The sequence below is a fragment of the Homo sapiens genome, chromosome 7 (assembly GCF_000001405.40).
Source record: "Homo sapiens chromosome 7, GRCh38.p14 Primary Assembly".
Classification (NCBI taxonomy): Eukaryota; Metazoa; Chordata; class Mammalia; order Primates; family Hominidae; genus Homo; species Homo sapiens.
In genome coordinates this window covers 105,693,746-105,716,687 of record NC_000007.14, presented here as the reverse complement: position 1 = coordinate 105,716,687, position 22,942 = coordinate 105,693,746, and the positions used below count along the sequence as shown (strand labels likewise).

General features: G+C 45.7%; 1 protein-coding gene across 2 annotated transcripts in view, besides 3 other annotated features; it reads left to right on the top strand.

The window, feature by feature from the left end:
• Window positions 1–22,942, top strand: part of ATXN7L1 (ataxin 7 like 1) — a 271,828-nt gene that overhangs the window by 159,912 nt on the left and 88,974 nt on the right. The gene's annotated exons all lie outside the window — the stretch shown is intronic.
• Window positions 19,091–19,852: an enhancer, noted in NCBI's record as "OCT4-NANOG-H3K27ac hESC enhancer chr7:105337283-105338044 (GRCh37/hg19 assembly coordinates)". NCBI's record gives its function as "activates a minimal SCP1, AML or CMV promoter by ChIP-STARR-seq in naive and primed H9 embryonic stem cells {active_cell/tissue: H9 hESC(naive and primed)}" and the evidence as "EXISTENCE:reporter gene assay evidence [ECO:0000049][PMID:30033119]".
• Window positions 19,472–19,766: a silencer, noted in NCBI's record as "tiled region #8747; HepG2 Repressive non-DNase unmatched - State 23:Low, and K562 Repressive non-DNase unmatched - State 21:Repr". NCBI's record gives its function as "represses a minimal TATA promoter and a strong SV40 promoter by Sharpr-MPRA in HepG2 and K562 cells {active_cell/tissue: HepG2 | K562}" and the evidence as "EXISTENCE:reporter gene assay evidence [ECO:0000049][PMID:27701403]".
• Window positions 20,617–21,380: an enhancer, noted in NCBI's record as "H3K27ac-H3K4me1 hESC enhancer chr7:105335755-105336518 (GRCh37/hg19 assembly coordinates)". NCBI's record gives its function as "activates a minimal SCP1, AML or CMV promoter by ChIP-STARR-seq in naive and primed H9 embryonic stem cells {active_cell/tissue: H9 hESC(naive and primed)}" and the evidence as "EXISTENCE:reporter gene assay evidence [ECO:0000049][PMID:30033119]".

Below are 22,942 nucleotides of genomic sequence, written 5' to 3'. Positions count from 1 at the left end.
TGTGTGTGTGTGTGTGTGTGTGCAGAGATAGGTTTTCGCCATGTTGCCCAGGCTGGTCTGGAACTCCTGGACTCAAGCCATCTGCCCACCTAGGTCTCCCAAAGTGCTGGGATTATGAGCCTGAGCCACCACACCTGGACCTTTTTGTAATTTTAAAAAACAGAGAACCACAGGGCCAGAGTTAAGGTACAAGAGAACTCACTTTTGTTTGGTTTGGTTTTGTTTTTCTGGGCCAGCATCTAAAAAGATCAGAAAACAACTGGGCCCCCATATAAAATAGTCTGTCTTTGCAGAGGTCTCCAAACGCTGCGGGAAGAATGAGAAGATGAGGTCTGCTCAGGTTTCTATTTTGCCACCTGCACCCTTTTATTGAAATTTCATATTACAGATATGAAGAGTAACTACTGACATCTCCTAGTGGGATTTTCATTTATATAATGAAATATATAATAAGTATATAATGAATTTATATAATGAAGTATGTAGTATGACTTTTTTCTTCATCTTTGGAAAAATATCCCTTAAATTCTACTTGTACCTTCTCCTCCAGATTGAAAAACAGACTAATAATGGCTTAGGACAGATGTGGCCTCAGATGACTTAAGTAATAATGACATAAATGCCCCCTGAAGCTCCTTCTTCTCCAACACCATCTCTTTTTTCTCTTCCCATCCCCCCCGCCTCCACCCCAGCTTTTTTTGGAGGGTAGGGGTTCCTTTTCTTTGCCTATACCTGAAGCCTGCTGGTGCCAATTAGGACGCTCCAGTCACAGCAAATGTGAAGAACTGCTTCCTCCAAGGTATCCATATGCCCAGAAATGGAGGATTGGTTTGACTCAAAGGACTGAAATGTCACTGCAGAATTTGGTCTGTGCTTGCAGCCAGTTTTTCACCACCACTGTCATTTCTCCACCTCTGGGGTTTGCAGTGGGGATACACTTTTAATGACATGCCACTAGTCACAGTTTTACCAGGTATAGTTGAGTCACAGAGATGAGAACAAAACCATTGCTTAAATGTGAATTTCCTTGGTCCCTGAGTGAGCACCCCTACCCACAGTTTGATGACATTTGAGCATGTGCTCCAAGTGACTATCTACAGAAATGCCTTTAGGCATTGTTTAGATAGCATACTACTCCAGTTATCCAGGAGGGTAGCTGCCTCTTTCTTTTTGAAAGCTATTCCCTTGGCTTGGCAGCCAAAGGAATTCAAGATTCATGCTGTTGTAAAGGATGCTAGGAAAGGACATGAATTTTAGAAAACAGGGAAGCTCTGAGGAAGTACCGAGGCTGCTATTTACAGAGTCTTTCCTGGGTGCTAGATATGGAGCACAGCACTTTACCTAGTTATCTCACTTGATGCCCACGTGAACTCTGGGAGTAAGATAGTATACTTCCATTCTCCACATGAGGAAGGTGAGGCTCAGAGAAGTTAAGTTCTTTGCCCAAAGTTTCCAAGCTTGTACCTTCTGCTGGAGCTGGTTTTGAGCCCACACGTGATCTCTTTCTGATATACCAAGCTGCCTCCCAGGGTTTATGCTAAGCAGTGAAGTCTATACTTCAAGTTACACTTATGGTCTTACTACTATTGTAAGAAGACCTGTCCTGTGTGGCATCCAGGACCCATGGGTGACATGGACAGCCTTGGATCCTAGACACCACACACGCACCCTCAAGAAACCCAGTCAGGAGGTCTCAGAGGGCTTCTAGGGTAACCCTTAGGATCCATGCAATTTACTGGTGCCCCACAGCAAGAAGTTATCCAGTGGGGCTGAGGCAGGCAGATCACCTGAGGTCAGGAGTTCAAGATCAGCCTGGCCAACATGGTGGAAACCCCCGTCTCTACTAAAAATACAAAAAGTAGCTGTGTTTGCTGGTGGGCACCTGTAATCCCAGCTACTCAGAAGGCTGAGGCACGAGAATTGCTTGAATCCAGGAGGCAGAGATTGCAGTGAGCCGAGATGGTGCCACTGCACTCCAGCGTGGGCGACAGAGCGAGACTGTCTCAAAAACAAAAACAAAAACAAAAACAGAAGAAGCTATCCAGATGCCATTAGCTCTTCTGCCCAGAGGTATATGAGAGCTCTGAGTACCTCCCTGTCCCTCAGGGGACCCAGGCATTCAAGAACTGACCTGGACAGGATCTCAAAACTTCTGACTCAAAACTGTAATATGTATTATAATATTACTATAGTAATATGGTCTTATTATTGTTGGCCTGGCCTGGGAAATAAGCTTCCCTCAGGGATGTCTCTAGTATAGGTATATTCAGCATATAGCAAACTCATCCAAGGAGCTTGTAAAGCACAGATTCCTGGACCCACCCCTGAGATTCCCATTCAGCTGGTCAGGAGGGTGGGGCATTTCCTGCCAGAGGCACTGATGCCTCCGATCCAGAGCTGTGGGCTCCATCTGGAATAACACTGCCCTAGTGTGTCCTGCAGGGGTGGCAATCGAGAATGAAGGTTCAGTTGTATAGCATTTGGATTGAAATTCTGACCCTGCCAATTAGTGGGTGGCTTGGGCAAGCTACTTAGCCTCTCTAGGCTTGCTTACTCATCTTGAAAATAAGGATTTAAAGAGCAGCTACTATATAGAGTTGTGGAGATTAGATGAGCTAAGCTATGTGAAGTATTTCAAATGGATAGTTCTTAATCAGGGTTTGCTTTTATTAGCAACACATGGAACCACGATGTCCTGGAGTGGAGAAAAGTGCTCTGGCCTTGCAGTCAGAAGTTTTGAGATCCTGTCTAGGTCAGTTCTCAAATCCCTGGGTCGTCTGAGAGAGAGTGAGGTGCTCAGAGCCCTCATGTACCTCTGGGCAGAAGGGCTAATGGGCATCTGGGTAGCTTCTTGCTGTGGGGTACCAGAAAATTGCATGGATCTTTAAGGCTTACCCTGGAGGCCCTCTGAGGCCTCCTGACTGGGGTTTCTTGAGGGTGCATGTGTGTCATCCAGGCCCCATGTCTGACATGGCTCAGGTTGGCAGCATGCCATGGGTGCCCTGAGCCAGCCAACCTGCGGAGTCCTAACCTTTCCCCTTTGGGCCTTGAGTCACCCTTATTGCCACTGTGCCTGCTATAGTTTAAGGGCCTCAGGCCCTGCTTTCTTTTCCCTGCAGCTTTTTATTTAATGTCTATCTAGTAAAGCTCCACAGACCCACATCGTTTGGAAAGTAAGACAGAAACCTGACAGTTATCCTCAGGGCCCTCTCTGCAGTAGCCTGGGCCACTCCACCCACATTATTCCTGCAACGCATTGGGCTCTGGCACAGGCCAGACACATATAACACAGCCATTCCCGTCAGACCCCAGCCATGGTGGCACCCTATTCTGTAACAGCATCAGAATTTAGAGGCTGGCTACACCAAGTGTGGTTCTCTGATCAGCTGCATCATCATCACCAGGCCCCATCTGATATGGTTTGGATATGTGTCCTCACCAAAATCTCATGTCAAATTGGAGGAGGGGCTTGGTGGGAGGTGATTGGATCATGGGGGTGAATTTCCCCCTTGCTATTCTCGTGATAGCAAGTGAGTTCTCACAAGATCTGATGATTTAGAAGTGTCTAGCACTTCCCCCATCACTCTCTCTCCTGCTCTGCCACGGTAAGATGTGCTTGCTTCCCCTTTGCCTTCTGCCATGATTATAAATTTTCTGAGGCCTCCCAGTCACGCTTCCTGTTTAGCCTACAGAACTGTGAGTCAATTAAACCTCTTTTCTTCATAAATTACCCAGTCTCAGGTAGTGCTTTATAGCAGTATGAGAATGGGCTAATACAGAAAATTGCTACCAGGAGTGAAACACTGCTATAAAGATACCTGAAAATGTGGAAGCGACTTTGGAACTGGATAACAGGCAGAGGTTGGAACAGTTTGGAGGGCTCAGAAGAAGACAAGAAGATGTGGGACAGTCTGGAACTTCCTAGAGACTTGTTGAATGGTTTTTGACCAAAATGCTGATAGTGATGTTGACAATGAAGTCCAGGCTGAGGTCTCAGATGGGAATGAGGAACTTCTTGGAAAGTGGAGCAAAGGTGACTCTTGCTATGCTTTAGCAAAGAGACTGGCAGCATTTCCCCCCTGCCCTAGGGATCTGTGGAACTTTGAACTTGAGAGAGATGATTTAGGGTATCTGGCAGAAGAAATTTCTAAGCAGCAAAGTATTCAAGATGTGACCTGGTTGTTTCTAAAAGTATATGCTCATGTGCTGAACAAAGAGATTTTCTGAAACTGGAACTTGTATTTAAAAGGGAAGCAGAGCATAAAAGTTTGGAAAATTTGCAGGCCAGCCATGTGGTAGAAAAGAAAAAGCCATTTTTCTGGGGAGAAATTCAAGCCTGCTGCAGAAATTTGCATAATTAAAGAGGAGCTGAATGTTAATAGCCAAGACAATGGGCAAAATGTCTCCAGGGCATTCCAGAGACCTTCACAGCAGCCCCTCCCATCACAGGCCCAGAGGCCTAGGAGGAAAAAATGGTTTTGTGGGCCAGGCTCAGAGTCCAGCTGCCCTGTGCAGCCTTGGGACACTGTGCCCTGCATCCTAGCCGCTCCAGCTCCAGCCACAGCTAAAAGGGGCCAAGGTACACCTCAGGCAGTGGCTTCAAAGGGTGCAAGCCCCAAACCTCAAAGGGTGCAAGCCCCAAACCTCAGCAGCTTCCACATGACGTTGGGCCTGCATTTGCACAGAAGGCAAGAGTTGAAGTTTGGGAACCTCCACCTAGATTTCAGAAGATGTATGGAAAATGCCTGGATGTCTAGGCAGAAGTCTGCTGCAGGGGCGGAGCCCTCAAGGAGAACCTCTACTAGGGCAGTGCAGAGGTGAAATGTGGGGTTGGAAGCCCCACACAAAGTCCGCACTGGGGCATTGCCTAGTGGAGCTGTGAGAAGAGGGCCACTGTTCCCCACCCCAGAATGGTAGATAGACCAACATCTTGCACCATGCGCCTGGAAGTGCCACAGGCACTCAACACCATGAAAGTAGCCGTAGGGGTTGTACCCTGCAGAGTCACCAGGGCAGAGCTGCCCAAGCCCTTAGGACCCCATTGCTTATGTCAGTGTTGCCTGGATGTGAGACATGGAGTCAAAGGGGATTATTTTGGAGCTTTAAGATTTAATGACTGCCCTACTAGGTTTCAAACTTGCATGGGGCCTGTTGCCCCTTTGTTTTGGCCAATTTCTCCCATTTAGAGCAAGAACATTTACCCAATGCCTGTACCCCCAATGTATCTTGGAAGTAACTAACTTGTTTCTGATTTTACAGACTCACAGGTAAAAGGGACTTACCTTGTCTCAGATGAGACTTTTGGACTGTGGACTTTTGAGTTAATGGCTGAAATGAGTTAAGACTGGGAAACTGTTGAGAAGGGATAATTGTATTTTGCAGTGTGAGAAGGACATGAGATTTGGGAGGGGCCAGGGACAGATGATATGCTTTGGATTTGTGTCCCCATCCAAATCTCATGTTGAATTGGAGGAGGGGCCTAGTGGGAGGTCATTGGATCATGGGGATGGGTTTCCCCTTGCTGTTTGATAATGGTTTGGCTCTGTGTCCCCACCCAAATCTCACCTTGAATTGTAATAATCCCCACATGTCAAGGGCAGGACCAGTTGGAGATAATTCAATCATGGGGGCGGTTTCCCCCATGCTGTTCTCGTGATAGTGAATAAATTCTCATGAGATCTGATGGTTTTATATGGGTTCCCCCTTTGCTTGGCTCTCATTCTCTCTCTTTGCCTGCTGCCATCCATGTAAGACGTGACTTGCTCCTCCTTGCCTTCTCCAGCCATGTGGAACTGTAAGACCATTAAACCTCTTTCTTTTGTAAATTGCCCAGTCTCGGGTATGTCTTTATCAGCAGCATGAAAATGGACTAATACACTGTTCTTGTGATAGTGAGTGAGTTCTCACAAGATCTGATGCTTTAAAAGTGTGTGGCACTGGCCAGATGGTTTAAAAGTGTTTAAACCAAAAAGATGGTTTAAAAGTGTGGTGGCTCATGCCTGCAATCCCAGCACTTTGGGAGGCCGAGGTGGGTGGATCACGAGGTCAGGAGATCGAGACCATCCTGGCTAACACAGTGAAACCACATCTCTACTAAAAAAATACAAAAAAAATTAGCCAGACGTGGTGGCAGGTGCCTGTAGTCCCAGCTACTCAGGAGGCTGAGGCAGGAGAATGGCATGAACCTGGGAGGCGGAGCTTGCAGTGAGCTGAGATCACGCCACTGCACTGCAGCCTGAGTGACAGAGTGAGACTCCATCTCAAAAAAAAAAAAAAAAAAAAAAAAGTGCATGGCACCTCCCTCTTCACTGTTTCTCTCTCCTGCTCCTCCATAGTAAGACGTGCTTGCTTCCCCTTCACCTTCTACCATGATTGTAAGTTTCCTGAGGCCTCCCAGTCATGCTTCCTGTTAAGCCTGTGGAACTGTGAGTCAATTAAACCTCTTTTCTTCATAAATTACCCAGTTTCAGGTAGAGCTTGATAGCAGTGTGAGAATGGACTAATATATCATCCCTGGTTGTTTTAAGATGCAAACTTTGACCAGGCACAGTGGCTCATGCCAGTAATCCCAACACATTGGGAGGCCAAGGCAGAAGGATCACTTGAGTCCAGGAGTTCAAGACCAGCCCTGCCTCTACAAAAGAAAAATTAGCCAGGTGTGGTGACAAACACCTGTAGTCCCAGCTACTCAGGAGGCTGAGGTGGGAGGATCACTTGAGCCCAGGAGATGAAGGCTGCAGTGAACTATAATTGCACCACTGCACTCCAGTCTGTGCAACAGAATGAGACTCTGTATCAAAAAAAAAAAAAGCAAAGCAAGCTTTATTATTATTTGGGTATGGGGAAACCAGAAGATCAGGAGATGGCTGCCATTGAAATGATAGTTCATTATTCACACTTCCCAAGAGAAGGGGGCACACCACACCTCAGAGCCACATGAGGAAGCACCAGGAGTGCTTAGGAGGCACAGGGAATGAGAGAAAATGTAGGCAAGCCTTTCTGGTGATTTCCACCAGAAAGAATTGGCTAGGCAGAGTAACCCAGTTCAGGATTGGCTAGTTTGAATAATCTCAGCAGGCTCTAGGGTAGAGAGCCTGTCTTTAGTTGTCTGGTACCTAACCCTGGGGTGATTAGGGAAGGGGTCTAGTGGTCTGGATTGTAAGAGCCAGACAAAAGAGGTGGTTGGGGTGTGGGCTTCGGGTTGGTTGGTCTGCATATATACTCCTCCTTGTAGGTGCGTCCTTTACTATCTCTAGGAATTGGCTGGCCCTGAGAAGAGCAGTCTCCCCAGGTTAAGCAAGGCCCTACGAAGTCAAAGCACTGGAAATATAGAAAAAAAATTCTTTTTTTTGTGAGACAGAGTTTCACTCTTGTTGCCCATGCTGGAGTGCAGTGGCACTATCTCGGCTCACTGCAACCTCCGCTTCCTGGGTTCAAGCAATTCTCCTGCCTCAGCCTCCCAAGTAGCTGGGATTATAGGCGCCCGCCACCATGCCCATCTAATTTTTTGTATTTTTAGTAGAGACAAGGTTTCACCATGTTGGCCAGCCTGGTCTCTAACTCCTGACCTCAGGTGATCCACCCACCTTGCCTCCCAAAGTGCTGGGATTACAGGTATGAGCCAATACGCCCGGCCAGAAATAAGAAAAAATTTTAAAAGGCATGATTAAAATACATTGACCTACAGAATAAGGATCTGCATTTTAACAAGAGACTGGAGTCATTGATGTTTGAGAACCACTGCTCTAGGGCACTACTCTCTGATGTTCTGAATTGGGTCTGCTAAAAGCAACATTTGTCCTAAGACATTCTGTATACAAATAGGGCGCGTGACTATGGTTTTGTGAGACTATGTACACCAAAACAAGTCTAAAATCTTAAATGGAAAGCAAAAGAAGAATGTCCCAGAATATTAGCAATGCCTTCCATTTCTTGGACATATGCTAATAATATTCTTTTGATTGTTACTAATGAATGGTACAGCAGTCTTAAGATATTATACAAACAGATGATAACTACTTTCTATAACAGAACTTATTTGAAAGGAAGGAACTTAACACCTCATCAGTGAATAGAGATAAAAGCCAACATTTTTAACCCATTTCACAGTGGGAAAATTGATCAGTTAATTATCCAATGAAATCTTAGTTTCCTACATTCCCAAATAAGTTGCGCTCCAATTTATTTTAATGGGGCAAAAATATTTCTTTGGATGACTCATCTGACTTATATTTGTCTTCACCCCTAGAAACTCCTTTAGAAGGAGCCCTTACTGGCCCACTCAACTTGGAGAGGCTGTTTTATTGAGGAAGAGAGGAAGAGGAACAAGAGCCAAATGTGGGTGCCTCACAGAATCACAGTGCTTGGAAATAAGGGGACCATTGAAATCATTCAATATAATCCTTCATTTTAAAGGTAGGGACACTGAGGCCCGAGAGGTTAGTAACTTGCATGAGGTTCTGTGATTCTTTGATGCAGACACGGAACAGTACGCAGGCCTCTGGGTCCACAGCCAACTGTTCTCCACGACACTGTGGAGTTTTCTCCTCCTTCTTCCTCCCTTCTCACTTCAGCAGAGCACGTCCTTCCTCTTAGATCAGAGATAAAACACTTCGCGCCCAGTCTGGCAGTGCTGACAACAGCAGCCACGTATTTTATTTCTTTGCTTTATTTATTTATACCCATCTTTGTTGCAAAAGGATTTAAGGCCACTTATAAAGTTGCAAACAACAGAACAAGATAAAATAAATTTAAAATAAGTGAGAAAGATGAGACACAGGAATAAGTAGCTTCACTGCAACTTTGCCCATTGCTCTCCTGTTAGAGCTGTTGAGCTTCTAGCCATTAAATCAGAGTGATGGGCAATGATTTCTGTACTCATGCCCTGTACTCAGCACTTCAGTGGATTTTTCTCCTGGGCTTGTTTTAGAGCCTCTCCCCCTTTGGGATACAAATGCCCTTTTAGGTCACTTTGGGAAACATAGAAGTTCTCTGCAGGAGGTCATGTTCGCAGGGTGTGACCACAGTGGTGATAGGGTTGTTGCTGTGTTGTTGCTCTTTTAAGGCCAAGCAAGAGAAGACAGCTAGTTCCTAACTAGAAACTTTAAGCTGTTGGAGCTGTCCAGAATCGATGACTTTCTTGGCTTCTTTGGTATGCCCTGCATACCAAAGGCTGTGAGGAGGAGGCTCAGACTGCAGCCAGGGTTCAGCCCATAGCCCAGCCTTCCTCCATCCCCCACTCATTCTTCATCTTTTTTGTACCATTTTGACCTCTACCCAAGCTCAGATCTCTTGGTTCCGTGAGCCCATCTTCCTCGCTGCCTTGACTTCTTCATTCAAGGAACCAGTGCACCTTCTCTGCTCTCAGGACCTCCACTTCTTCCCACAAACAAGCCTTGGTCCAACTGGCTCATTGCTTCATGTGTGCTGTCTAACTCCCTGGACCTTGTCCCTTTAGAATTCAACCCACCGCCTGGGTTGGGTGGCCTCTTCCATTTCTTCTAAGATGCTGCAAAATTAATCAAATCTAACTCCACCAGGAAGCCCAGTATTCCTGATGGCTCTTACCACTAGAGATGTTTGGAAAATGTTCATTTGGGGGCTGTTGTGGTAACTGGCATCCATCGGAGTAGAAGTGCTAAATGCTGTGCATTGCATGGAACAATTCCACCCAACGGAGAATTAACCCTCTTAAAATGCCAGGTGTGTTCCTGCTAATAAGCACTGATAAAAGCACAAAGAAAACCTAACTATTTGCCATTGTACAATGGCATCAGAGCAGCCACACTGCAGATTTCTTGGTTGATGCCCAAGAGTTTAGTGGGAGGAAATCACTAAATTATTTTTATCTGCATTTTGAAGGGGTCAGGCTATGCTGGGAATTGTTTTTCATTAGGCCAGAGTCCCACAGTTGGATCGAGCTATAGCTCTGCTCAGGTCATTTGTTGGTCTACATCGGGGACCTAGAAGCCACAGAGTTGGTGAGTGCAGCCTGTCCTTGGGCGCTATCAGATCACCCCAGTCCCCAGAGGGGATGCTGGTGGCTGGCATAGTGATGGAGAACTGGCCACAAAGGAATATCTTTCCAGAGGTTTGTTGTTTTTGTTTTTGTTTTTGTTTTTTTTGGTGGTGGTGGTGGTGGTGTTTTTTGCTGTAACAGGCAAAGGAGCAGAACACTCAGAATTAAATGGTCTGTTGTCTCATAAAAACCAACTATGTAATCCCAGCACTTTGGGAGGCCAAGGCAGGCGGATCACTTGAAGTCAGGAGTCCAAGACCAGCCTGGCCAACATGGTGAAACCCCATCTCTACTAAAAATACAAAAAAATTAGCTGGGCATGGTGATGCACGCCTGTAATCCCAGCTACTCCAGAGGCTGAGGCAGGAGAATCACTTGAACCCGGGAGGCAGAGGTTGCAGTGGGCTGAGATAGTGCCACTGCACTCCAGCCTGGGCGACAGGGCGATACTCCATCTCAAAAAAAAAAAGACAAAAACAAAAACAAAAAACAAAAACAACTATGATGCTCTTAAAGTTAAAAAATAAGCACAGTGGCTAAGAGAAATAATTCAGTTTAGCTAGCTCTCAGACCACTGCAGACTGCTGCCCACTGATCCCTGCATTTCTCTCTTGCTTTACTGTGGATTGGCTAATTATTTCCTGATTTATTCATTTATTATCTAACACACTTGGAGTGCCTGCTATGTACCAGTACTAAGAAAAAGTTCCTGACTTGGGCTCTTTATATGCGAAGAAGGGTGGCAAATCTATCTGTTACTACGGAGCCACGTGCCAGGTGCTAAGGTGGAGGTGTGCTCAGTGGGTCCAGAGAGCAGAGAGAAAGGGCTTCAGGTGAGACCTGGCAGAGGTTCAGGATAGCAGGGAATCTCCTAAGTGTCCCAAATGCGCTAATGTTTGAGCTAGATCCTGAAAGAAAACAAGGAGTTAACCAAGGTGAAGAACAAACGAGTGGACCAGGATTCCAGAGAAAGAACACTGTGCACCAAGCCACAGAGGCGTGAAACAAAAGGCTCTCAGTTGTCTAGTGTGGCAAGTGGCAGGGGTGCATGGGGGGAGGGTGTCGGAGTGGTGCCCTGGAGACAGGGAGAGCTGCGACAGATTCCTGGGGACGGATCCTTCTGCAGCTCAAAGATAGGAGAGGCCCTTAGACATCCCTCAAGGCCATATGTCAATCAAAATAATTAAAAGTAAAAGAACCGGAAGGCAGGCTTATATATTCCAACATCCATCTAGTTTTTCCCCCAAAAAAAGCTTTTGATAAAATAAGATGAAGTGCCAAAAAGATGCATGTGTTCAATAGCGCAGCAGAAAGTGAATAGAGTAAAAGTAATAAAAAATACTCGGCCGGGCATGGTGGCTCACACCTGTAGTCCCAGCACTTTGGGAGGCCAAGGCAGGTGGTTCACCTGAGGTTGGGAGTTCAAGACTAGCCTGGCCAACATGGTGAAACCCCATTACTACTAAAAATACAATAATTAGGCAGGCGTGGAGGCACGCACCTGTAAATCCCAGCTACTTGGGAGACTGAGGCAGGAGAATTGTTTGAACCCAGGAGGAGGAGGTTGCAGTGAGCCAAGATCATACCATTGCACTCCAGCCTGGGTGACAAGGCAAGACTCCGTCTCAAAATAAATAAATAAATAAATAAATAAAATAAAAAATAATCTCTACAAAACTGAGTTATTGCTAATTCTGGGTAGCACAGCACAGGAGAGTGTGCTTGGGTTTGGAGTCTGACAGAACTGAGTGCAAGTCTTGGCTTTACTAACTTGGCTAATGCCACTGTACCAGCACTTTGGGAGGCCAAGGGGGGCAGATCACCTGAGGTTAGGAGTTTGAGACCAGCCTGGCCAACATAGTGAAACGCCATCTCTACTAAAAATACAAAAATTAGCCGGGTGTGATGGCACATGCCTGTAGTCCCAGCTACTTGGGAGGCTGAGGCACAAGAATCACTTGAACCCAGGAGGCGGGAGGTTGCAGTGAGTAGAGGTTGCAACAAGCTCAGATCGTACCACTGCACTCCAGCCTGGGCAACAGAGCAAGACTCTGTCTAAAAAAAAAAAAAAAAAAAAAAAAAAAAGAGATAAAACCTCTCTGGACATTGGTTTCCTCATCCAAACATGGGGGTGATGATACCAATCTCATTGCATTATTGTGTGAATTAAACAGTATCATCCCAGTGGTTTTTACTATTAGCCTGTTATTTGTTGCTTTTTGAAGTACTAACTTAATCAGGGCAAAGAACAGGTTGTGATCTGTGCAGATCAGTTCTCATTAGCAGAATAAAGAACAATCACAGATTACAGTTAATAAGCCAGATCTAGAAATGACAAAATTCTTTCTTATTTTATTCATTTGACAAATGTAAATTACACATTTCCTGTGGGCAGGCACTTCATGAGGCTTATAGTAGTGAACAAGACAGACCCCGTCTCTGCTTTCCTGAGGCTCAAAATCTGGTGATGAGGAAAATGTACTAAGGGATCCCTTCCTGAAGTCTACCCATTTCAGATTCACCAAGTGGCATGTTTGTTGTGGACCAACCTAAAGTGGTTTGGCCACATAGGCCTCTTGGGTTCTCTCTGGTAGGACACAGTTGCCAGCGTAAAAGGTTGTAAAAGATAGATGTGGTGAGGGTCAGCTTCTCCCGCACAACCTTGCAGTTGTGAATACCATGTGAATGAATGTGGGTATGAGACTGAATTCTGCCACAGATGCAGGCATTTATCAAACAAACGTTTATTGACAAGTAGAAACAAAACAGTTGATTCAGCTTGTTTGGGAAGCTTGACAAAGGCCCAGCCCTCTCTCCTTTGAGGTTTTCCAACCACACCTGACACGAAAGGTTCGCCCTAGGCAACTACAAGAATCCTCTAGAGAGGGGACACTGTTACACTGTTTTCCCAAAGCAGCATCATCCCCTCATAAACCATCCAGATTTGGTGGCTGGACACAGGGCAGCCCAGAGCACCATCCCTGAAGGGACAGGCCTGGCTGGATTCTAATACCTGTTTATACAAGGGTGGGTAGTGTCTCTCAGGGTTTTGGCCAGGCTACATACCTTGAATACCGTTAATTGCACCAGTAAAAAGCCTGTTTCTAGCAGTGATTATACTAAGTCACAAGTTTCAACAATAAAACCCATTTTTTGTGTTCAGAATGTTGGACCAAATATGGATAACAGAAAAACTTAAACTGGCCACATTTGGAATGTGGCTCACTTTGATTAATACCAGTTGCCCAATCTAGACTTTGTATTCTTACTGCCTGCAAGCTGATGACCTGGAAATGTAAAGCCTAGACTAACTTCCACAAACAATAAAATACAAGTTATACTTAAGTGCTTTTTTTTTTTTTTTGAGACGGAGTTTCGCTCTTCTTGCCCATGCTGGAGTGGAATGACGGGATCTCGGCTCACCGCAACCTCTGCCTCCTGGGTTCAAGCGATTCTCCCTTCTGCAGCCTCCTGAGTAGCTGGGATTACAGGCACCTGCCACCACGCCCAGCTAATTTTTTGGGGGTTTTTTGTTTGTTTGTTTGTTTGTTTTTGAGACGGAGTCTTGCTCTGTTGCCCAGGCTGGAGTGCAGTGGCAAGATCTGGGCTCACTGCAAGCTCCGCCTCCTAGGTTCACGCCATTCTCCTGCCTCAGCCTCCCAAGTGGCTGGGACTACAGGCGCACGCCGCCACGCCTTGCTAATTTTTTGTATTTTTAGTAGAGACGGGGTTTCACTGTTAGTCAGGATGGTCTCGATCTCCTGACCTTTTGACCTGCCTGCCTCGGCCTCCCAAAGTGCTGGGATTACAGGCATGAGCCACTGCGCCCGGCGGCAATTTTTTTGTATTTTTAGTAGAGACGGGGTTTCTCCGTGTTGGTCAGGCTGGTCTTAAACTGCAGACCTCGGGTGATCCGCCTGCCTTGGTCTCCCAACGTGCTGGGATTACAGGCATGAGCCACCACGCCAGGCCTCAAGTACTTTTTATTTACTTATTTATTTTTATTTTTTAATACTCTAGCACTTTATAGGCATTGTTACCCTGCTGCATTTCTCTTTCCTATTTAAAAGATGTGATTCGCCCTGTGTGTGTGTGTATGTGTGTCTGTGTGTGTGTGTGTGTGTTGTGGGTCTGTGTGTGTGTAAGGGGCTGGGTTATATCTAAAGTGACCAGAAGTCCTAATTTGCCTGGGAGAGTCACAATTTATACCTCTTGCCCTGGAGCCCATCCATTTAGCACCCCCTTTTACTTTCAAAGCTGTCTAGTTGGGATGATAAATTATATGATTTCTGTATTTCTAGAAAGAATGCAATGGCACAGAATAAAGAGAACAAACCCAGGAAAACTAGGTTTGGATCCCGTCTGTACCAGTCCCCATAGGGTGGCCTTGGGCAAGTTGCCCCACCTTAGATTCCTCATCTGTGAACTGAGAATGATGCTTCTGCTCGCCCTCCCTCCCTAGTCAGTTTTCTGTGAGATACCAGTTATGCCACGGATGCAAATGAACTTTGTAAAGAGAAAAGCACTAGCAAGAGTTAGGGATCATTCCCATCTTTAAACTAACATTGTTTTACACTTGAATTGACTCTGGCTTAGGAAAACTAGCATCAGAATATAGGTCATGTGAGCTTTTCAACTTGTCTTCTCCAAGGCTGGAGAGGCCCATAGCCTGCTGCTGCCAAGGAAGTAACTAGCAAACACGTCTGCTTGAGTTTCCACCTCCATAATTCCATCAGGGAAGAGAACATGACGTTAAAAGTAAAACCATAAGCCAGTGGTTTGCTTTAAAATGAATTAATGAGTTGGGCACCGTGGCTCATGCTTGTATTCCCAGCTATTCAGGAGGCTGAGGCAGGAGGATCACTTGAGCCCAGGAGTTTGAGGCTACAATGAGCTGTGATCACACCACTGCAGTCCAGCCTGGGTTACAGAGCGAGACCCTGTCTCTAAAAAAATAAAATGCATTAATGTAAGAATTATCCAATAAAGATTTAACTTACCCTTTTTTTGTATGAGTAGAACTCTTCTGAAAGTTTGACTTGAGGATGGGATGGGGTGCAAATAGGAGTGGTGCTCCAAACAGAGGTGCTGTTTTGCATAATAATATAGTTTTATTTTTTTCAAAGTTAAAATTGCCTTTGTTCTTATTATAAAAGGAATGCACTGCAAAAACTGCCAATATTTCAGAAAAGTCTAAACAAGTAAAATAAGAAAATAAGTATTTCCATGTAAAACTTTCCAATCTTTTTTCTATGTGTATGTGTTTGTCTGTGTGTTGTACATATGTATCTACATGCATATATTTTATATTTTTAAAATAAAAGTAGAATCTTATTATAGACATTGCTTTGAAACATGCTTTTTTTCATCTAAAATTATCATGGATACATTTTAGTAAATATAGATCTGCATCATCATTTTTATGCATCTCCAGCATTCCATTGAATGGATGTGCCAATAATTTATTTAACTAGTGCCTGATTGCTTGTGATTTAGGTTGTCTAGGGGTACAGTATCTACCCCTTTTGCTGTAATTTTTAGAAACCAATATAAGATATCTACACACACAAACTTGACACACTTTTTGCAATTTCATATATTAATGTTTGTCTTTGTTTGCATTTAAGTGGAAAGATCCATGACAGTTAAAGTGTACACTAGGAGGAGCTATAAATAATAAGGCACAGGGGCCGGCCGCAGTAGCTAACACCTATAATCCCAGCACTTTGGGAGACGAAGGCAGGCAGATCACTTGAACTCAGGAGTTCGAGAGCAGCCTGCACAACATGGTGAAACCCCATCTCTACAAAAAATGCAAAAATTAGGCAGGCGCGGTAGTGTGCGCCTGTAGTCGCAGCTACTGGGGAGGCTGGGGTGGGAGGATCACTTGAGCCCAGGAGGTGGAGGTTGCAGTAAGCCAAGATGCACCACTACACTGCAGCCTGGGTGATAGAGCCAGACCCTATCTCAAAAATAATAATAATAATAGAGCAAAGGCAGCTCAGGGTAGAAAGCCAAGGTATCACATCGTTGCAAACTGCCTGAGGCAGTAAATTACTTTAGGAATAACCTCCTCATACACAGGGGCTCAGATATGGTCATTCATGGAGCAACATTGCTGCCAGGAGACCTTGTCTTTTTTTTTTTTTTTTTTTTTTTTTGAGACAGAGTCTTGCCCTGTCACCCAGGCTGGAGTGCATGGTGGTGCAATCTCAGCTCACTGCAACCTCTGCCTCCCAGGTTCAAGCAATTCTCCTGCCTCAGCCTCCTAAGTAGCTGGGACAACAGGAGCATGCCACCACGCCTGGCTAATTTTTTGTATTTTTAGTAGAGATGGGGTTTCACCATGTCGGCCAGGCTGGTATCGAACTCCTGGCCTCAGGTGATCCGCCTGCCTTGGCCTCCCAAAGTGTTGGGATTACAGACATGAGCCACCGCGCCCAGCCCCCCTTGTCATTTTCTAGCACCACCAGCCCCAGTCATTGGAATATTCCTTTCACAAAAGAAAACATCGTGTGCACATGCAGGTGTTTACAGGTAGTGCATTCCATAATATCTCAGTATCATGAGCTCTGCCATTGAGTGAAGCTGCATGGGAACCCAGCCAGGAGCTCAGAGCGGCTCGGAGGGGCTCTGAGTCGCTGCTCCTCAGCTCCACGCCATGGTCCAGGGCACCTTCAGGCTGTCATTGAGAAACAGTTTACTCTCAGTTTATACATAATACCAGCAAACTTGATGGTCTGATTTCCAAGTTCAGGAAATTAGAACTCTAAGGAGGATTGTGGGGGCAGGCCTTCACATAAAAAGAAGTGACACCAGACTGCAGGAAAATACAGGTAAAAGCCAGAAAGCGGGGAAGCTGAAAGTCCTTGCATTCTTTCTCAGTGTTTGCAAACCATAGGCACCACCCATGATGATGGGGCAATCATCATGGTTTAGTGAATCCTGACCAACATTTTAAACAACAGAAGACAAGAGATCACAGTGCTTTTTAGGTAGTGAAGATAAGTATTATCTTTGGGAACTTGTGTCTCATCTACATATCTGCAATACTAGGTTGCACTGTAAAATTCATTTCTTAAGGTAAATTAGGGTCAAAAAGTTTGACAGCTGCAGTCGTAGGCTCTAAAGTCATAATTTTATAGCAATTAATGCTTGTAACAGTGACTTTGAGTTATCAAAAAAGGATCAAGTAACATTCAAAGTATACCACTTAAGAAATCAAAATACAGTGGAATGGCCGAGCATGATGGCTCATGCCTGTAATTCCAGCACTTTGGGAGGCTGAGGCAGGCAGATCACCTGAGGTCAGGAGTTTGAGACCAGCCTGGCCAACACGGCAAAATCCTGCCTCTACTAAAAATACAAAATTAGCTGGGCGTGATGGTGCATGCCTGTAATCCCAGCTAGTTGGGAGGCTGAGGAAGGAGAATCACTTGAACCTGGGAGGCAGAGATAGCAGTGAGCCGAGATTGCACAACTGTGCTCCAACCTGGGTGACAGAGCAAGGTTCCACCCCAAAAAGAAAAAAAAAAAGTACAGTGGAATGAAGATCTTTTGGAAAGAGCCCTGTTCCACTGTGGCTACAATCTTTTTAAAGATTTGGCATTATAAATTTTAAATGGAAAGGCTTTCTGCCTTCTCCCTAACTTGAACCACAAACAACTTTTTAGAAACACCAAATTTGATGCATATTTAATATAAAGATATTCACTTTCCAGATATGCCTAGTAAGGTATATATATATATCTTTTTAATTCAGATTAAGAGAGACTTCATTTGTTCATGCAAAACACGTATTTAAAACACATAGCAAAGTTTCTATGCTCTGGCTAGCATGCAAAGATAGCTGAGACTCAGAACCTGCCCTCAGGGAACTTCAGTCCAGTGGTCTGGATTCCAGTCAACCCACATCTAAGATCTTTATCATAAAGTCATCTTTCAAACTGTAATGCAGTACTGGCTAAGGCTGGCTGACATTGATACTCACTCTCCCCCAGAATCTGGTGTATGGCCAAGCACGGTGGCTCACGCCTTTAATCTCAGCACTTTGGGAGGCCGAGGCAGGCAGGTCACTTGACCCCAGGAGACGAGCATGAGCGGCATGGCAAAACTCCATCTCTACAAAAAATAAAAAATTAGCTAGGCATGGTGGTGCATGCCTGTGGTCCCAGCTACTCAGGAGGCTGAAGTGGGAGGATCACTTGAGCCCAGGAGGTCAAGGCTGCAGTGAGCAATGGTCACACCACAGCACTCTAGCCTGGGTGACAGAGCAAGACCCTGTCTCAAAAAATTTATTTTTAAAAAAGAAAAATCTAGCATATGTAGCCCCATCGATGCAAAACTGACATTGTGACATCAGTTACAATGTCTTGGTTTGTGGGTCCACATCACAAAGGATTAAGCCAAAATCTAGTTGCAGGTATGATCAGGCAAGACTGGCTTAGTCCCTGTGAATCCAGGTAACAGGGCACAAGTGAGGCGTGTTGAGCTGAGTGCGGACACGACTGGGAAGTCTGCATGGCAATGTCAGGCACTAGAGCCCAAGCATTGAAGCCAAGCCTGCAACCAATAGCCCCCACAGCTACCAACATGCTTTCCTTGCCTCTGTATCTCCCAAAAGCTCAGTCTCCATCCTGTGTTGGCTCCATCCTCTTCTTGGCCAGCTTTCCACATGTCCAGACCATGTATAAAGACAGTGCTCGTCCCTGCCCAGCTTCCTCTTCCACATATGGAGTCAGGCAGCTGCCTTCGCTCGGAGGAGTATAAACATCCAGGGCATGGGCACAGGGCCCCAGCTGTTGCAGGAAGTCAGGGACCCCAAACAGAGGGACCGGCTGAAGCCATGACAGAAGAACGTGGATTGTGAAGATTTTATGGACATTTATTACTTCCCCAAATTAATACTTTTGTAATTTCTTATGCCTGTCTTTACTGCAATCTCTAAACGTAAGTTGTGAAGATTTCATGGACACTTATCACTTCCCCAATCAATACCCTTGTGATTTCCTATGCCTGTCTTTGCTTTAATCTCTTAATCCTGTCAGCCGAGAAGGATGTATGTCGCCTCAGGACCCTGTAATAATTGCATTAACTGCACAAATTGTATAGCATGTGTGTTTGAGCAATATGAAATGTGGGCACCTTGAAAAAAGAACAGGATAACAGCAATTGTTCAGAGAGTAAGAGAGATAACCTTAAACTCTGACCGCAGGTGAGCCGGGCGGAACAGAGCCATATTTATCTTCTTTCAAAAGCAAATGGGAGAAATATCGCTGAATTCTTTTTCTCAGCATGGAACGTTCCTGAGAAAGAGAACGTGCACCTAGGGGGGTAGGTCTCTGAACTGGCCCCTCTGGGGCGTACCTGTCTCTTATGGTCGAGATTGCAGCGGTGAGATAGACTCCAGTCTCCCATAGCGCTCCCAGGCTTATTAGGAAGAGGAAATTCCCACCTAATAAATTTTGGTCAGACCGGTTGATCTCAAAACCCTGTCTCCTGATAAGATGTTATCAATGACAATAGTGCCCGAAACTTCATTAGCAATTTTAATTTTGCCTCGGTCCTGTGGTCCTGTGATCTCGCCCTGCCTCCACTTGTCTTGTGATATTCTATTACCCTGTTAAGTACTTGATGTCTGTCACCCACACCTATTCGCACAGTCCCTCCCCTTTTGAAAATCCCTAATAAAAACTTGCTGGTTTTTGTGGCGTGTGGGGCATCACGGATCCTACCAACGTGTGATGTCTCCCCCGGACGCCCAGCTTTAAAATTTCTCTCTTTTGTACTCTGTCCTTTTATTTCTCAAGCTGGCCGACACTTAGGAAAATAGAAAAGAACCTACGTGATTTTCGGGGCAGGTCCCCCATTACCCAGCTTCATCCTCCGTGGGGTGGATGTACTGAGCTCTCCAGCATTTTCCAAACTCCCTTCTCTGTCTGCATTAGCAAAACAGCGTTTGTCTGGTTTGTGGTGGAACTGCTTTGGTTAAGCATGCCAGTACTAATTACAACAGATTCCTGCTAATATTCCACATCTCTCCATTAGCGCATTTTAATGTGATATTACAAGTTCAGTGGCTAGGCCTCATGGACTTTCAGAAGTTCTGATTTTAAATAGCCTACCCTATCTTTCCTTATTATGCCAATGCTTGTCAAATCATGGGTCCTTCTTTTTTGGCTTAAAAAAAGTGGGGGTGGATGGGTGGGGCTCTATGATCAAAGAAGTCACATGTTACGTGGAAATATTCTCCTCACTTTATGTCTTGCAAGCAAACGAGTTTCCGTGCCAAGACTGTTCTGATTCACCTAGCACCCATATTCTTTCAGGCAGCATGGATGCAAATGTCCTCTGGTTACCAAAACCACCTGAAGAAACCCCCTTGAGAGTGAGTATTCACTAGCAGTGGGAAGCACTACATATACCTCCCGCCAAGCTGCAGAGCATTTCCAGTCAACAGGAGCACATAGATTTCATTAGTCTTCATGACCTTCATAACAGTCAACGTGAAGTCCACCTTGACACCCAACTTCCCTGACCTTCGGGTGTATGTTTTCTTGTGTTGTACTTTCAGGGAGAAAGAAGTGTGACAGGCAGATTTATAAGGGCGTGGCAGAACGTTCTGTAACTTCCTAACCATCAGCTCCTGACAGGCTCCCCTCTGCATTCTACATTCAATATCTTTGATCTTGGCCCCCCAAGCCTTCACTTCCTGACAAACACCTCTATTCATCCCTACCTGCAAACCTCCTGGCCATCTGCAGTAACCCACCACCCTGTCCCTCAGAGCAAATGCCCAACGCCTGCAGTGAACCTGCTCAGCCTGTATCACATAAAAGTAGTATCAGGCCAGATTAAGCTGTGCGTGTGTCCATTTGGCATGGGCAAAGGAACATGACAGTGGAAACCTACATTTGGTCCAATATTTTCAGTGACCTCTGTTGCAAAGAACTCAGCAAAGGCCTAACTTTGAAACACCTTTTAGAGAAGCGATCCCCCAAACCATGTGCTAAGCTAGATCCCCTCTACATGTGCAGTGGTGCACCGTGGATATACAAGCTTCATAATGTACAGCTGTCAGGCCTGCTGGGACATTCCACTTCGCTGCAACTTAGACTAGTATTTGGTAAGGAACCAGGGGTTGGCATTTAGGTGAACTGATCAAATCAAAGGATGGGGTGCAAACTGGATCAAGACGATTGTTTTCCATTGAAATAGTAGCTCTGGAGTGCAGATGTCCGAAGCTCCCCCCACACTGTGGAAAGGAACCCTTCTGTGTTAGGCACATTCACTATGAAACACTAGAAAAGCCATGAAGACAGGGAATGTTGAGAAAATTGAGGGCGATGTTGTGCTTTTATTTTATTTAATGTTTATTTATTTTGAGACGGAGTCTTGCTCTGTCACCCAGGCTGGAGCGCAGTGGTGTGATCTCGGCTCACTGCAACCTCTGCCTCCTGGATTCAAGCAATTCTCCTGCCTCAGCCTCCCGAGTAGCTGGGACTACAGGCACCGGCCACCACGCCCGGCTAATTTTTGTATTTTTAGTAGAGATGCAATGGTGTGATCTCGGCTCACTGCAACCTCCGCCTCCCAGATTCAAGCAATTCTCCTGCCTCAGCCTCCTGAGTAGCTGGGACTACAGGCACCGGCCACCACGCCCAACTAATTTTTGTATTTTTTGGAGAGACAGGTTTCAGCATGTTGGCTGGGCTGGTTTCGAACTCCTGACCTCAGGCAATCCACCGCCTCAGCCTTCCAAAGTGCTGGGATTACAGGTGTGAGCCACCGTGCCTGGCTGAGGTTGTGCTTTTAGAGTCAAACAACTCCATTGGCCTTTTTAGTTTTATCATTGTTTTCTCTGGAAGCGCCATAGAGGGAAGCAAGGAGGGCCGGGCCAGGAGTTGGAAGACCTAGGGCTGTTTGTGGTTTGCAGTGTGGCCCTGGCCAAATCACATAGCCTCTCCAAATCCCAGTTTACTTGTCTGTGAAAATGGGAATAATAAAGTCTGCCCCTTTTAAGCTGCTTTGTGAATAATGAAGCTGCACACCAGCGTACATTATCGGCCATGAGGCTGAGACCCAGGATTGGACATCAGAAAGCTTTCCTGGGTGTGTAACTTGGGAAAGTCACAGGTTTCTCTGAACCCTGTTTCCCTCCTTCATAATGGGGGTAATAATAGCCGCCCTTCCCACCTCACAGGATCAAATAATGTAATGTGCATGAAAGAGACATAAACTGTGGGGTTTTAACCCACAGAAATCCTGGGGCTACTTTAACAGTTGCTGACCCCAAGGACAGGGCTGATTGAAGACTCACTTCTCAGCCAGGTGCAGTGGCTCACACCTGTACTCCCAGCACTTTGGGAGGCCAAGGCAGGTGGATTGCCTGAGATCAGGAGATCGAGACCAGCCTGGCCAACATGGTGAAACCATCTCTACTAAAAATATAAAAATTAGCCAGGTGCAGTGGCATGTGCCTGTAGACCCAGATACTGGGGAGGCTGAGGCAGGAGAATTGCTTGAACCCGGGAGGCGGAGGTTGCAGTGAGCCAAGATGGCACCACTGCACTCCAGCCTAGGCAACAGAGCGAGACTCTGCCTTAAAAAAAAAAAAAAAGGCTCACTTCTCCCTCAGGACCTGAAACTTCTCTCTTGCTGCATCCCTTCCACCCTCCTCCTTTCCCCACCCCAGACTTCTTGCTCCCGACTTCTTCCTCCCCTGCTCCTTCCTTGGTCTTGGATGTGCTAAGTTGCCTTTGCTCTTCTCCTGTGATGTATCAGGCAACTGCTGCATTTCACTCCAGGGTGGCTCCATTTCAGATCCCAGTGAAACAATTTCTATATATAGTTGGTAATAAAATGTGGGTTACTTTGAGGGGAAAGAGAAAGCCACTATGTGGGTTCCTGTTCACCACCATGGCG